The sequence below is a fragment of the Homo sapiens genome, chromosome 7 (genome assembly GCF_000001405.40).
Source record: "Homo sapiens chromosome 7, GRCh38.p14 Primary Assembly".
Classification (NCBI taxonomy): domain Eukaryota; kingdom Metazoa; phylum Chordata; class Mammalia; order Primates; family Hominidae; genus Homo; species Homo sapiens.
The window spans coordinates 36,407,574-36,424,026 of record NC_000007.14 but is presented as its reverse complement, the minus strand read 5'-3'; the positions used below and the strand labels follow the sequence as shown (position 1 = coordinate 36,424,026).

The 16,453-nt window shown below is 37.7% G+C and overlaps 1 protein-coding gene across 9 annotated transcripts in view; it reads right to left on the bottom strand.

Moving 5' to 3' along the window:
• Positions 1 to 16,453, bottom strand: part of ANLN (anillin, actin binding protein) — a 63,930-nt gene that overhangs the window by 29,765 nt on the left and 17,712 nt on the right. For 2 of the 9 annotated variants that reach the window (XM_006715746.3, NM_018685.5), the window contains exons 5-15: positions 16,071 to 16,293; positions 13,323 to 13,513; positions 12,861 to 12,968; positions 8,143 to 8,269; positions 6,837 to 6,947; positions 4,548 to 4,783; positions 3,713 to 3,858; positions 3,283 to 3,430; positions 2,035 to 2,170; positions 1,218 to 1,394; positions 84 to 210 (exon numbers count right to left, since the gene is read on the bottom strand). In XM_006715746.3, coding sequence (XP_006715809.1) covers positions 84 to 210; positions 1,218 to 1,394; positions 2,035 to 2,170; positions 3,283 to 3,430; positions 3,713 to 3,858; positions 4,548 to 4,783; positions 6,837 to 6,947; positions 8,143 to 8,269; positions 12,861 to 12,968; positions 13,323 to 13,513; positions 16,071 to 16,293 — 1,730 coding nt within the window. The remainder of the gene's footprint in view (positions 1 to 83; positions 211 to 1,217; positions 1,395 to 2,034; positions 2,171 to 3,282; positions 3,431 to 3,712; positions 3,859 to 4,547; positions 4,784 to 6,836; positions 6,948 to 8,142; positions 8,270 to 12,860; positions 12,969 to 13,322; positions 13,514 to 16,070; positions 16,294 to 16,453) is intronic. The other 7 variants (XM_017012354.3, XM_017012355.3, XM_006715747.5 and 4 more) reach the window with 4 other exon arrangements.

Below are 16,453 nucleotides of genomic sequence, written 5' to 3'. Positions count from 1 at the left end.
AAATGCCACCTGAATGCTTTAGACTGTATCAACTCTACAAAAAGAAAAATGCATTCGAATCATCAAAAGCCTGATTTACTTACAGAGTAAATGTAGTAGTGAATGTCAGAGCATCACCGTTAAGAGAGTTTGAAGTACTTGCTAATGGTGTGGCTACCATATTTTCAGCTCCTGCTTTTAGTATAATTAAGTAATAGTAATTTGCTGCATCTGTAAGAAGTAATCATATTACATAGTAAGCACAAGCAAAATCAGATTTAGCTAATCAGCATTCTGGAATACCAAAGAAATAAAGGAATATTGAACTGATTTATATACAATTTATTTTTAAAATTACTAAAATCAACTTTCCAGACACAAAAAGCTAAATAAGACTTAAGTAGGCAGTATAATCCTGAAATAAGCATCATCAAGGTCTCTCCCTGTTATGTAAATTGAAATAATTTCACTCCACATTTCTCAATTTCTGCTGATTTTGAATTTTACCTAGTGACCCTTAATTCTTAACTAATAGTACATATCTCAAAAGGGTAAATTATGGTTTGTTATTTCAAAACTGAAATTAAAATACTGTATTTCTATAAAAGTTACTCAGAGATAAATGATAATAAAAACATAAACTATTTCTTCACCATTTGTCATTAATAACCACGTACCTCCAGACGCATACTAAATTACCAATAAATTTCTGCCCACACCCCATCAAAATCAGATAACATCAAGAATTAGAACCTAAATTACCTTATTCCTACAAAAGTGCTCAAACCTTTCACAACCTCCATTTACTTTCCCTATGCCTGAAATTTGCTTCTCACCTATGTCTAGCCCTCCTTCCCCTCAAAAAGAAATTTTTTAAAATAAATTGTGTATAAATCAGTTCAGTATTCCTTTATTTCTTTGGTATTCCAGAACACACACAAAAAAATTTGTGTTCCACACAAATAAAATTTTAAAAGGAACTTTAAAAACCATATCCAACATTTAATAAAACTTTATATTCAAACTTTCAGTAAGAGCAATGTCCATTATTGTGTAGATTGGTATCCCTATATATATCTGAAGTTTTCTTATTTTTATTATATCTCAATAAAAGGACCTAAAGGCCAAAGATACAAACTTTGCATTGTTATGCATGATTTACTTGTTTCTATTCTGTACAATTCAATCTAGGTGAGGTTCATAATTTAACACACAATCTAGAAAAATCACCACCATACCTGGTTTCTGAACCGTACTGCAGACAAAATCTGCTTTTAGAGGCAAGCGGATTTCTGACAAAGTAACTGATCCTTTGGATGGCATAAATTCACTTTGGGGACTAGCCTTATTCTTCCTCTGAGGTCCTTCGTTCTTCAATTTATTCAATTCATCAATCAAAAGTGTTCTCTTCCCAGCTATGTAAAACAACGCAATATTCCAAATATTAAAATCGTAACTGTTTCTAATGAGAGCAAATTCAAAAAAGTGTACTGATATGGAAACTGTACGTAACAGCGAAGACGAAATCAGTAACACTATCTTTATAAAACATGGTAGGTGGTTGGGGAAAACCTTGGTTGCTCATTTACCAAGTCCTTATAATTTAATACATCAACTTTCGGCTAGTTTTCATGTGTGGTATCATCTGTCCACCCCAAAATGCCCCATCATCACCACATATACGCACACAGCAAAATTCACAGAAGTTGTTTTAGCTATTTATTGATAAGGGAAGGAAGGGAGAGAGAGAGAGAGAGAGAGAGAATGTATGTGTACATGTGTATATATAGAGATTCATTCATTCATCCATTCATTCATTCAATCTGCACAACTGCATTTCTTCAAATGCCTTTCGGTTGCTTCTACCTTTCATGCAAACTACAATTTGTTTTACATAGAGTTCTTAAACCTTATAAAAACAAGAACAAAAAATAGATCCACTGGAACAGATGACTAGGAAAAGCCCTTTCTCTAAACTTAAAGATTTCTAAATATCAAAATGAGTTTTCCCTGGTTAGAAATTTGTTGGAACTCTTTCAGGTGCATCACACTTACTTGCAATTAGAAGAAGTCTTTCTGCTTCAGCTTCTTCTAGGGACCCTTTTCCATGTTCTTCATCAACACAGCAGTTAAGAGCCTGGCTAGCTTGATAGATCACTGTCTGTTGCATATTTATTTCGTTATTGAGTTCCTAGGAAAACCAATGAGAGGAGAAAAAATATACACATTTTAAATCATCATTTTCACTTTAAATTTTAATTCTAACTAACTTGATTGGATAGTTTCTAGAATTTCCAGATGAAAGTCAAAATGTTAGTTTCACTGCTCAAGTTTCTCGACTATGCACCAAAAACATTTAGCATGTTACAATAATTAAGCTATAAATATTATTCCTTATGAAAAAACTTCCAATTCATACTTATTAAAGTTAAAATTGGGGTTACATCCAACAACGTAGAAATTTAGAAAGTATCTGATTCATTTTATTTAAATTACAATTACACTGTTTTTTTTTAATATGCTTCCTTAGGGCCAGGCATGGTGGCTCACACCCGTAATCCCAGCACTTTGGGAGTCCAAGGCACAAGAATCATTTGAGCCCAGGAGTGTGAGATCAGCCTAGAAAACATAGTGAGACTCCATCTCTATTTTTTTTTATAATTAAAATATTTTTTTTAAAAGCCAGGCATGGTGGCTCATGCCTGTAATCCTAGCACTTTGGGAGGCTGAGGTGGGTGGGTCACCTGAGTTCAAGAGTTTGAGACTAGCCTGACCAACATAGTGAAACCCCATCTCTACTAAAAATATAAAAATTAGCCAGGTGTGGTGGTGCATGCCTGTAATCTCAGCTACTTGGGAGGCTGAGGCAGGAGAATTGCTTGAACCCGGGAGGCAGAGGTTGCAGTCAGCCAAGATTGCGCCATTACAATCTAACTTGGGCAACAAAGAGCAAAATGCTGTCTCAAAAAAAAAAAGCTTCCTTAGCATGAAAAAACCTTGAAGAGCATAACAAATTTCCCACTACATCATTATCCAATTAATAGTTATACTTTAAGGATATTTATGAAAAACTTGTTTAAAAATAAATATTTCAGCAATATCAAATGAGTTTCCAAGTTTTCAAAAAGAGTACCTTTCCAAAAATAAACTGAATTCAAATGTGATTTACTGAGCTTCTATGCATCAGACACTATTCTGGCCACTCAGGGTTCAGAGATAAGTAAGGCTGGGCCCTTTGTCCTCACAGAGCTCACAGCCTAGTGCAAGAAACATTCCAAAGCCCCTTTCCACAAAAGTACATACCTGCATTTTCTGTTTGATATTAACTTGACAAGGAAAGGCATTATTTTTTTCATCCAGTTTTGAAGTAACATCTTCCTTCCGAACAATCACCTGCTTTATTGATGGACGTTCTGTTTCTTTGAATCTTTGAGATCTATATGCATCAATGCTTCAAGAGGTAAGTTACACTCTATTAGAAATCCAGCAACACACTGAGCACTATCCTTTATTGAACATATCAGCAGAATTTGACACTGATATTGAACATGTCAGCAGAACATTTCACAACAGAATGGAACTCTCATTTGGTGAAAGAGAGGCTAACAAAAGTTATTCCAAACTTTTATACAGATGAGTTATTAATAACATTATAATTACAAATTATAACACGACTTATGTCAATCTAAACCATGACCCTTAGTGAGTGAATGCCTTCCAGAAATGTTCTTACCTGTAAAGAAGATCACGATCTTCAGAACCAAGGCTATCACCAGATTCAGCTCGAGGGACACGAGTTCTTTGGAATTTTCCTGGTTTTGGACTTTCATCACTTCTGCTGGTGTCTTTCAATTCCAGTCTAGGTGTGGACACTAAACTCTGTGGGAAAACGCATCAGATATTAACATTGATCCTAAATGATAATTCATTTTATTCTGTGAAAATCAATGAATTCTCCATTAATATTAAGAAAAAAATCCAGTAAGCTGATTGATTCATCATAAAAACAAAGCAAACTAAGTTCCTAACACATAAAAGAATAAATAAAACTACAAAGACAGCTGAAACTTATACTTCAAAAAAAAAATTCTAGTTGAATCAATCCCCAGAGCTGCAGTTATTCAATTGAGGGTGAAAGCTAATAACAGCAGTTAGCTGTAACTAAATGTTAGTTACATGTGTTTGGAGCTAACTACCGATATACTAATACAACAATGTTCACATCAACTCCACTATATAGGTATTATTAATAACCTCGTTTAACATAAGAGGAAATGGTGGCATAGAGAGCTTAAATAACCTGACCAATAAACAGTCAGCAAATGGCAGAGTCAAAAGCTGAGCCCAAATGCCTGGCCTTTTAAGCCATGTTACTCTTTGGATTTCATCTAAGGTCAAAAGGAAACCACTCAAGAGTTTTAAGGTTTCTTTTAAGAGAACAGACAACAGGTCTGCAAAATTCCCTTGGCTACTGAGCCAAATGTCCATCTGTCAACAAAAGAAAGGGGAGATACGAATACTACTTAGTTTACTTATGTCCTGGGCCTGTTTAGTTAGCCTTTTCTTACCTCTGGACTTACCACACCAACTGTTTGTGCCAATGGTGCAAGTAAAGACATTGAGGAGATATTCAGTGCATCTTCCTGTTCTTCGCTGCTTTCTGCTAATGCTTGATCCATCTCCTCTTGGCTCTTCTCCATATCTAGTTCACCTTCCTCTAGGACATCACTGAAGAGGTCATTAATTACTTTCGAACTATTGATATCATCATCATCCACACTCATCTCAATTTCACGTATCACTTCTGAAAAATATTTCAATAGGTGGACACTGTGACTCAGATATTTAAGAATTAAAGGCATAACAAAGAAAATTTAATATTCATATTCTTACTAAATAGGAAAAAATGCCTTAAAAAAAAGCACCTCCTAAAAAGAAAAATAAGAAAATACTACTAATAAATGAAACCAAGAAAATCTTCAGCTTCAATAACACTTTCTAAGAAATGAATATTGGTAATCCCAGCACTTTGGGAGGCCAAGGTGGGCAGATCAACTGAGGTCAGGAGTTCAAGACAAGTCTGGCCAACATGGCAAAGCCCAGTCTCTACTAAAAATACAAAAAAAATTAGCCAGGCGTGGTGATAGGTGCCTGTAATCCCAGCTACTCAGGAGGCTGAGGCAGGAGAATCACTTGAACCCAGGAGGCAGAGGTTGCAGTGAGCCCAGATTGTGCCATTGCGCTCTAGCCTGGGGGACAAGAGTGAAACTCTGTCTGAGACAAAAAAAAAAAAGAAAAAAGAAAAAGAAAAAGAAATGAATATTGGGTCTATCAAAACTGATTCAATACCTTGGGTTTAAGTAAAAGCATTAAGAACTCAAATGTAGAATAATAGCCAAAGACTTCAGACTTTCAAAAAATATTCTCTCAAATGACTTTTTCTATCGTTGAGAGCTACCCTTTCACACAGCAGTCAATAATAGGAAAATATTAATGTCACTTAGGGCAGGGTTCGATAATAACCTTCAGGGGCTGCTAACACCTTGTGGTATTATGATATATACTGGTTTTCGTCCACAGTTCCTAGCTCATAACTGCTGTATCCCTAGTTACTGTCTTTCGTTATAATGTTGGGTGCATTAGGCCTCACAGGAAACAGAACTCTCCTGCCATCCTTTCACCTGCCCCACGGCAGGACTCTAATCTTCTCCTATCTTTCTCATTGTGGTTCTTAAGACGACCCCCACACCCACCTCACCCCTCACCAGAGAGGATCCAGCCTCATACCCTGGGGGAGGGAATGCTGACTTTATGAAGCTTCCACTGAAACCCAAGAGAACTGGGTTCAGGGAGCTTCTGGATAACTGAACACGTGGAGGTTCCTGGAGGGTGGCGCCCCAGGGAAGGCAATGGAAGCTCCATGCCCCTTTCCGTATACCTCACCCATATCCTTTAAAATAAAGCAGTAAACGTAAGTATTTCCCAGAGTTCTGTGAGCCAATTAATCCAAGCTAAAGAGGGGGTCACAGAAACCTCAGCTTGAAGCTGGTCGGTTAGAAGTTTGAGAGCCCTGGGCCAGGTATGGTGGCTCACGCCTGTAATCCCAGCACTTTGGGAGGCCAAGGCAGGCAGATCACGAGGTCAGGAGTTCCAGACCAGCCTGGCCAATATGGTGAAACCCCCTCTCTACTAAAAATACAAAAATTAGCTGGGTGTGGGGGCAGCGCCTGTAGTCCCAGCTACTCAGGAGGCTGAGGCAGAAGAATCGCTTGAACCTGGGAGGTGGAGGTTGCAGTGAGCCAAGATCGTGCCACTGCACTCTAGTCTGGGCGACAGAGTGAGACTGTCTCAAAAAAAAAAAAAAAAAAAAAAAGGAAGTTTGAGAGGCCTGGACTTGCACTTGCAACTGGTATCTGAAGGAGAGGAGGCAGTCTTGGGGACTGAGTCCCCAACCTGTGGGATCTGACACTACTTCCATGTAGCTAGTGTCAGAATTGAATTGAATTGAACTGGTCACAAAAGTCTTCTGTGTTGATGATTGTTGTGGTGGTATGAAAACAGAGGAAAACATAATCCCAGAGAGTTTTTCCCTGAAACACCCCTCTACCAGTACAGAGCGTGGGAGGGCAGCAACTTTCCTATCCCTGTCAAAGTCAGTGAGGGTCTTAACCACACTTTCACAGGTGCCTGTGAGCTAGCAGTAACTGTTAACAGTACCACATCTTGGTAGAAGCTACAGTGTATTCTGATTTAATTTAAAAAGCAGAGATACTCTCAATTTGAATATGTGCTTCTATCAATATATTATTTCCTATAGTATGTGCAAAGTTAATAATAAATAAAGAATAAAAACCAACCAATTTTCTGCTCAACCTTTGGGTCTGATGTTACTTTTAAGGATTTGTCCTCTTCTAAAAACAATGTTATTTTCAAAGGGCTAGATTTCGTCATTTCGCATTCAGTGAAACCTAAAAATGTTTAAGAAAGACCATATTAATATATATAAGAACCTATAATTTTCTAATTATGGAATCTTGTGTGTGTTTTTTTTTTCTGATTATAAAACTATGTATTCGTTTTAAAATATCCAAACCCAGAAATGTATAGAAACACCCCTCCCTGAACACCTGTCCTCTCTTAACCCATTTATGCTGGAGGTTGCAAATTTATTTTGTGAAAAATCAGTTCTTGGTGACAACCTTGAGCAGGAGGACATAAGTAACTCCCATAAGCTTAGCGTTCCAATAATGGAACACTAGGCATAAATGCATTAACTTTTCCCCCACCGAGAGAGAAATGGGACAGCAATATTACCAGGTTATTGTTTGTTTTTCCAGTTTCCCCCAAGGTGTGCATATTTACATATCATTTTGTTTTGTTTTGTGATCATACCATACATACCACTACTCTGCAATTTGTTTTTTACTTTAAAAACAAAGTGCCAATAAAATTACTCAAAAACTAGGAATAGAAGGAAGGTACACAACGTAACAAAGGCCATATATGAAAAGCCCTCAGCTAACATTACACTCAACAGTGAAGGATTAAAAGCTTTTCCTTTAAGATGAGGAACAAGACAAAGATGCCTGTTTTAATGACTTCTATTCAACACAGCATTGAAAGTCCTAGCCAGAGCAATTATATAAGAAAATAAAAGGCACCTGAATTAGAAAAGGAGTAAAATTATCTCTATTCACAGATCACAGGATCTTACATGTAGAAAACCCTGGGCTGGGCGCAGTGGCTGACCCCTGTAATCCCAGTACTTTGGGAGGCCAAGGCAAGCAGATCACGAGGTCAGGAGTTTGAGAACAGCTTGGCCAACATGGTGAAACCCCATCTCTACTAAAAATACAAAAATTAGCTGGGCATGGTGGCAGGCGCCTGTAATCCCAGCTACTCGGGAGGCTGAGGCAGGAAAATCGTTTGAACCCGGGAGGTGAGGGTTGCAGTGAGCCAAGAGATCACACCATTGCACTCCAGCATGGGCAACAGGGCAAGAATCCATCTCAAAGAAAAGTGAAAAAAGAAAGAAAACCCTAAAGATTCCCCCCAAAAAACGTTAGAACAAACAAATCCAGCAAAGTTACAGAATACAAAATCAACACACAAACATCATTTGAGTTTCTACATACTAACCATGAACAATCTGGAAACACTGACCTTTAGGTTCTGTACTAGAATTTTTGGCTGGTATCTGGTTTTCGGTCACCTTTTCTGTTACTGGAAGTGACTGAGTTTTTGAAACACCTTGGTGTTTTTTGAGGGGAGTGCTCTGACAGTGAGTTTCCTGCAAAAAGCGAATGAAAAGTAAATTTTATTTCTCAAAACTATATATTTTATCTTTCTATGTTATTAAATGAAACAAGATTATTATTAAATATTATTCTGTATAAGTTTCCTTAGAACCAAAGAGATAGTGTATGTGAATAGGCCCAGCCTTGTTCAGAACACGACAAACCCTCAGTGCTAGTTCACATTCTTGGTAATTCTCAGTATGTAAAAATTTTTTTGGAGAGGAGGTGGCAAGAAAGAATGAAAATTCATATCAGGGCTCAGTTTTAGATAAGCCAATCAAAGTGAAAGCCTCTCCTTGAAGTCTGGGTATTTGGTAGAATAAAATAAAATAAAATAAAATAAAATAACAATAAAAAAACAAAGTGAAAGCCACACAAAGGGAAAAACACCCACCCCTATGTCACTTATCTCAACCCACACCTATAACATCTGGTGACAGCTCCTACACATCAGGATTCCATTTAATTATCAGTTACCCGGAGGGTAAGAGCAAGAGAAAACAAGGACAAAACAGATCAGAAGGTAAGGAAAGAAGAGAAGAGAAGAAAACATTCCCTCGTCTGAGTCTTTTTATTCATTAGCAAGGTTATTTAAGAGGAACATTCACTATTTTGTATGTTTAAAGACTTTATATTGTTGTACAGATTATTTCAGCAAAGAAATAAAAGAAGACTTTATGAATGAAGTCATAGTAGAAATAATCAAATAAGAGTAAAATAAAGGCAGCTAATACTTATACAGAGCTCAATATGTGCCAGCCACCTTTCTAAGCACCTTATATCTATTGCCTCACCTAATCTTCTCAATAACCCTCTATGTTAGGTACTAGTATCTCCATTTTACAGATGAGAGAACTGAGACACAAAAAAGTTAAGTATCTTGCACACAGTTAGTGACTGGCAGAGCCAGTATACAAACCCAGGTACTCTTGTTCCAGGTCTAGTTCCAGACTTTATTGTCTCTCAAGTTAGAAGCAGCTTTGGTTGTGTAAAAACAATGTAATTAGCATGCAGATGAGTGGATTAAAAAATACATAAAAATTTTTTAAAAACACAAAAAGCAAAGTAAACGATCAAATGGTTCCACTATAAAATCTACGGTCTCATATCTCATCTAAGCCTCAATACTACCCCCTATTCTTCCTATGTCTGAGTCAGCTCTCTCTTCTTTCCTCCATACAGTATTTCCCCTGTCACCTTCCCTTTCCTAAGGATGAATAAAACAGGAGCTTTCAGAAGAAAGTCCATCAGTTTTTGCTATCCTAACTCTAAGACTACCATCACCCCTACATGCTACTTTCCTCCTTCCTTTTCGTCACACAGGAGATTGTCCTCATCAGTTCTGTTCCCTTCACTGTGCGGAGTTCATCCATTCTCACCTCATCCCATCAATTATCACCCCTTATCCCATCACACAAATTGACTTAGGTCTCAGAAAGGACAAAACACATACAAATCATACTTTTCTTCATCTCTTCTAGCCACTACCTCCTTTATCACCTCCATTAGGACCAAACTAAGAAATGCCTGCACTCACTGGCTCTGCTCCTCTTGCCCGTTCCCTCCTCGACACAGCACCACCTGCACGCCACCCTCACCTCTTCACTAACACTGCTCTTGCCACGTTACAGCAAACTTCTTGCTTCAAAACCCAGTAGATTTGGCTTAACCCACATTTGAAACGTAACAATACCAACCATGCCTTCCTTCTCGAAAGTTTTCTTTCTTCCCTTGACTTTATTTCCTTTTTTTTTTTTGAGACGGAGTCTCACTCCATTGCCCAGACTGGAGTGCAGTGGTGCGATCTCGGCTCACTGCAACCTCCGACTCCCAGGTTCAAGAGATTCTCCCGCCTCAGCCTCCTGAGTAGCTGAGATTACAGGCACCCGCCACCAGGCCTGGCTAATTTTTTTTGTATTTTTAGTACAGATAGGGTTTCACCATGTTGGCCAGGTTGGTCTCAAACTCCTGACTTCAAGTGATCCACCTGCCTCAGTCTCCTAAAGTGCTGGGATTACAGGCGGGAGCCACCACGCCGAGCCCCTTGACTTTAAAGACACTGCCTTCAACTACATTTTCCTCCTAGCTCTTTGGCTGCTTAGTCTGTGGAGACCACAGATGAGTGCTCTGCACTGTTACTGTGTTCAGAATTTTGTTTACATGCATATGTGCAACTTTCTGGGAGGAATTTCACAGGTTTATTGGGAATTATTTAGTACAAAATAGTTTAAGAACCCTGCTCTATACTTTCTAGAGACACTGGCAGAAAGCCATGAGAATATGATACACTGGCAACCAAGTAAAGAAGGCGCTCCCAACAGAAGAGTGATCGACAATGTCAAATGCTACTAATCAACTGAAAATTGATTAGTAGGTGAAGATCACTGACAAACGTGATTAGGATACTGAGTCGTGGAAGGAGTGGTGGCAAAGCTTAAGCAGATAGAATTCTAAAGAGAAGGGGGAAACCTGAAAGCAGCAAGTAGGAATAACTTGTAGAAGAGTCTGCATGACATGGAGGCAAAGAAAAGGAGGGGAATGGGTTGCAAGAGTTGTTTTTTTTTTCAGATGGCAGATAATAGCTTGTTATATGCTGATGGGAAGGATCAGCAAACGCATTTCTTCCTTCAAATACAAGTTTGTTGAGCCCCTAGTCTGAGCCAGGCACTAAGGACACAGAGGTGGAGAAGACTCCCATAGGCAGTGGTGGAATGCAAACTTACAACATTCACAGGAAGATAAATATTCTAGTTGAGGTATACACAGGATGACATGGGTGAAAAAAAGTGGGACACTTTGAGAAAAGGAAGAATTCCTAGAGGGGATTAAAGTTTGACCTATTCTTAATGAAGTAGGAGCTCACCAGGGAAATATTCCTGGCAGAGAACAGAAGGCAAAGGCAGAGAGATATAAAAACATGGGTATATTTGAGAAACTGCAAATAGCCTGCATGGCAGGACTGAAGCATACCTGTGGAGGAGCAGTGGGGAGGAGCCAGGTGAGGAATCATTCTATATGTCAAGCCAAGCAGTTTACGCATTTTTTCTGATGATGACTATGAGGAGCACTTCAAGATTTTAAGCAAGTGAATACATGAATATGCGTCTTTTAAAAATATTTCTCGGCTGGGTGTGGTGGCTCACACCTGTAATCCCTGCACTTTGAGAGGCTGAGGCGGGCGGATCACCTGAGGTCACGAGTTCGAGACCAGCCTGACCAACATGGAGAAACTCCATCTCTACTAAAAATACAAAATTAGCCAAGTGTGGTGGCGCATGCCTGTAATCCCAGCTACTTAGGAGGCTGAGGCAGGAGAATCGCTTGAAGCCGGGAGGTGGAGGTTGCAGTAAGCCAAGATCGTGCCATTGCACTCCAGCCTGGGCAATAAGAGTGAAACTCCATGTCAAAAAAAAAAAAAAAAAATATATATATATATATATATATTTCTCTGGCAGCAACTGATAAGGTGGACTGGAGGGTAGCGAGACTAGAAGCAGGATGTTCAGTACAAAGCTACAGCAGTAACTTCGGTAATAGCAGAGGAAAATATGGAAGACGAGGCAGGTGGGTGACAGATTTAGAAAACTTATCACTGCACGTGTGTGTTTATGCATATGTGTGCTAGGGGCAAGCAGAAGGGAAGACACAGTAAACAAGAGGAAGAAGTCAAGGAAGAACTTCCAGATTGTTTTAGATGACAAGGTATAGAGCAAACCAACAAGAGAAGACAGAGACTACAAGGGGAAGATACTACAGCAAAGCATAGCAGGCTTTGCTAGCCAACCACACCTAGAGCTCAGGAGAGATATCAGCACAACGGAGCTGAGCATCATCAGCATTTCAGTGATTATCGGAATCTAGGTATGTGGACAGGGAAGAGATGTTCCAGAGCAACTGAGAAAAAAAGGTTGAGATCAGAACTCTGGGAAATGTGATTTGTTAAGCAAGTGAACTGATAAAAAACAAATCAATCAAGTAGATCTTTCTCAAAGAATACTGATTAAATTTACTGTTATTTTACTTTCTATTAGTCCCCACTGTAAATATAATTCTATTAGCTTAAAAACATATCCTAACACAGTACTTTGTAGACATGTAAATTAAACAGAACACAGCTTACATTGTAGAGATTTTGTTGAAGGCTGATTAATGAACTTTGACCGGAATAAAGAGCAATGTGGGAGGTATGTGGTGACTGAAAGGATCCCAGATAGTCTAAAGACATGGTATCTGGGGAAAGGTATACAGTCATCATTGAGAAAAGTAGACTCTCGAAATATTTTAGAACCACCATCTAAGTGGAATATTAAGTAGACTCTGAAATCAAATGAATGATGAAAATAATTTTTGTAAAATTTGATTTTAAGGTCATCAATGAATATGGTGAAGAGTTCCACTGAAATAGAAAAATATCACAAGAAAAGCAAGAGTTGGTACACACATTTAAGGGATTTATAAACGAAAAGTGACAGAGTTAATTGGAAAAGAAAAATGTGTAAAGAATTATTTGCCAATACAGAACTACAAATTAGATCCCAACTATTTGGGGACCAAGTTCGTTTTTATATTTCTTGTTTACATTACCTGTTTGGTTTCTAGTTGTTTGCTTTTTGAGTTTCCGCCTTTTTCTGCACTCCATATATTGCCCTTGTCAAATCGGCCACGAAGACATGCTAGTTCTTTTTGACGTTCCTAAACCCATCAAAAGCTGTATTTTACACAAGAGCCGGTAGCATGTTTAACATCCAAACACTACTAAAATTTTCCTTGTTTGCAGTTTTAAACTGTTTAAAAAGTTTAAACAGTTTTCAGTTTAAAAAGTTCATAATACACATGGAATTCAGGACAATATTTCTAATTTGAGATGAGTGATACTGTCTACGGCCATACCACCCTGAATGTGCCCAATCTTGTCTGAAATTAGTGATACAGAAAACCAAGATGCTACTTATCTCAGTCAAAAAGACTGGCATCAGAACCCATTTTGATTTCTAGGTTCTATGCAGAGACCATGTGATGAATAATGTTAAATGCAGTACACCATACCTGCTTGAGCTGTTGTGCTAAATGGGTAGTAGATGAAGATGTGTCTTGCTTGAATAATCTTTCTTGGATGGCCTTTGTATTTGGAGTAATAATGGGGGTTCTGTGGGGTGTGCTACGAGCTGGACTTTCTTTGCTATGTTCTTGACAACGCTCTCCAAAGCGTTCCAGGAAAGGCTTAATTCCTGTTCCTCCTACAGAAAACACACACATTTTTGGAGGCTATTCAAAATAAAAAATTATTACGATTTCTATGGAAAAAGTTCTAAACTACATTACAGCTTCAAAATGCTTTGATTCTATCAGGAATATTCATTCACAAAGTAGACTATAAAAATACTTCAAAATTTTAAAAAGTTTACTATTCTATTTAAGTACATGCCCTAAAACCTACTCATAGAATTTAGTTATTTAAAAAAAAAAAAAAATTTTGAAAAGGTAGAATGAGGAGAGGGCAGTAGGGCTTAGAAAACTCTCAAACTGAACAACCAGAATTTAAATAATTAGAAATTGACTGTATGTATATTAATAAATCTACCTTCATCACGAAGTGTGCTGGCCATGGTAACTTCCAACAACTTACATATATCTATAGTCAATTTATTTTACCCTGCTTTTAGGAAGCCTAACGTGAAAATAAAGGAATTTTGCCTTTTTTTCCTTCAGAAGGAAAATTAGGAATTATTCATTTTATCAAAAGGACACCTTGACTTTACAGTGTCTTAAAATAGTATTCAGCGGGGTGCAGTGGCTCACACCTGTAACCCTAGTACTCTGGGTGGCCGAGGCGGGTGGATCTCTTGAGCTCAGGAGTTCGAGACCAGCCCGGGCAACATGGAGGAATCCCATCTCTATAAAAAATACTAAAATTAACCACTTGTAGTGGCATGCCTATAGTCCCAGCTACTTGGTGGGCTGAGGCAGGAGGATCTCTTGAATCTGGGAGGTCGAGGCTGCAGTAAGCTGAGATCATGCCACTCACTGCACTCCATCCTGGGTGACAAAGTGAGACCCTGTCTCAAAAACAAAAAACAGCAAACAAAACAAAACAAAAAACCCCACAGCACTCATTGAAATAGTATGAAGTAAATTTAAAGTAGGGCAAATTGGGCCTATATCACTCCCATTAAGAGGATTCTAAGGTTGTATTATAAAAAAATAGGCTTATCTATATCAAAGATTAGCATATATTTTCCTATAAAGGGCCAGGCACTAAATATTTTGAGCTTTGTGGGCCATATGGCCTCTGTCACAACTATTCTGCTCTGCATTACAGAATGAAAGCAACCACAGAGAATATGTAAGTAAATGGGTGTGGCTGTGCTCCAATAAAACTTTATTTGCAAAAACAAGCAAAGGGCAGAATTTGAGCCACGGCCATAATTTGAGGACTTCACCTATCACTTATTACTACTTCAGGCCATATTCCAAACTAGAGTCCATTAAGAATACAATGAAGTATCTAAAATAAATATCTCTGAAACCCTGGAAATGTGATTCTGGGTATATCCAGTAGCCAAGAACAATTAAAAAGAATGCCTCTTATCTAAGCTTAAGTCTTTAGAAAATTGGGACTAACTAGTCCTATTCCATCTGGGGATCTTGCTATTGTTTCCAATTCTCATTCTGGCTCAACTGGAAATTGCAGATTTCTACCTACCCCATAACCGCTTCCCCACTCTCATTTCTGTTTACTGCCCCTTTATGATGAACTATAGTTTCTGCAGAGGTTGTATTTTCAAAAAGTTAAACCTTAGAATTAAAAGTCTTTCCAATGAAAATGAATACAGTTCAGAATAAACTCAATTACCATATATTTTAGTCCTGTGTTTCTCAATTAACAGTACGTGGAAGTGTGCCAGAAGGTATAAATCACCACAAGATAAATATGGCATTTCCTGGAGTATCAGTTTACGATGGTAAGAAATTTTGTTTTATATGTAAATGCTCACACACAATATACACACAGATAAATATAACTGGGGGATGAAGAGAGGTTGATTAATGAGTACAAATATACAGTTTGGCAGAAGAAAAAAGACCCAGTGTTTGATAGATCAGTAGGGTGACTATAGTTTACAATAATCTATTGTATACTTCAAAATAGCTACAAGAGAAGAATTCAAATGTTTCTAGCATAAAGACAAGTATTTAAGGTGATGGATATCCTCGTTACACTGATTTGATCTTTACGAATTATATAAATGTATTAAGTTATCAAATGTACTCCCGAAATATATACATCTATTATTTATCAATAAACAGCAATTTTTTCAAAAATTTCTATCATTTATCAATTTAGTAAATAAATAAAATTAGAAGTGGAGTCATTTGCATGCACATTCACTTCCCTCTGCTATTAGAGGTGCCTTCATACTCAAGATTGAGAAGCACTGCTCTGCACACTTGGCTACAAGAATGTTTCTCCATTATGCCCCTAAAATGTGATTTCCAGTTAAACATGCTTTGTCTGAATCAAAAAATATAGAAAAAAAATCTAGCATGATCATCCTGGAAAAAGCATGTTTAAACTGTTAAAATGTAACATATTAAGTCCTTTAACCAGTAAGTAGGCTAGTCTACGTTAATAAATATTCATTGAATCAACTAAAGCTGAGGTCTCATTTGGAACATTCAGGCATTGGCCCTGGCAAATCATTGCTGTACCATTCACAATTGAATATTTAAAATGCTGAGAATAGATATCCTGAATATAATCAGCAATAACTAAATTTTTTATAAATACGTAACCTGGTGTCGTAGATTTGTCTTTAGATTGAGATTGCAGACAAATTTCTCTACTTAATTCTCCCTTGGATGGAACTGTCTGGGATAAAGTTGACTTCACAATTGGTTTCGATACCCCCGTTTTCAGAGGACTAATAGGAGTTTTTGGAAGTAGCTCAGGATTTTGTCCCTCACAACTTTTAGCATCAGTGATAGATGTAGTAGATTTCACTGGAGAAGTAGCTTTCTGAAACATGAAAACACTTAGGGTAAACAACATTCACAATATCTAAAAATAGTCCTATAACAAAACAATTCAAGTCCTATTTACTTGATAGCCTTTATGTAAGATTTATGAAAATGAAATGATTTTGCTCTCTAATAGATCAAACAAATTTGAAAGATTT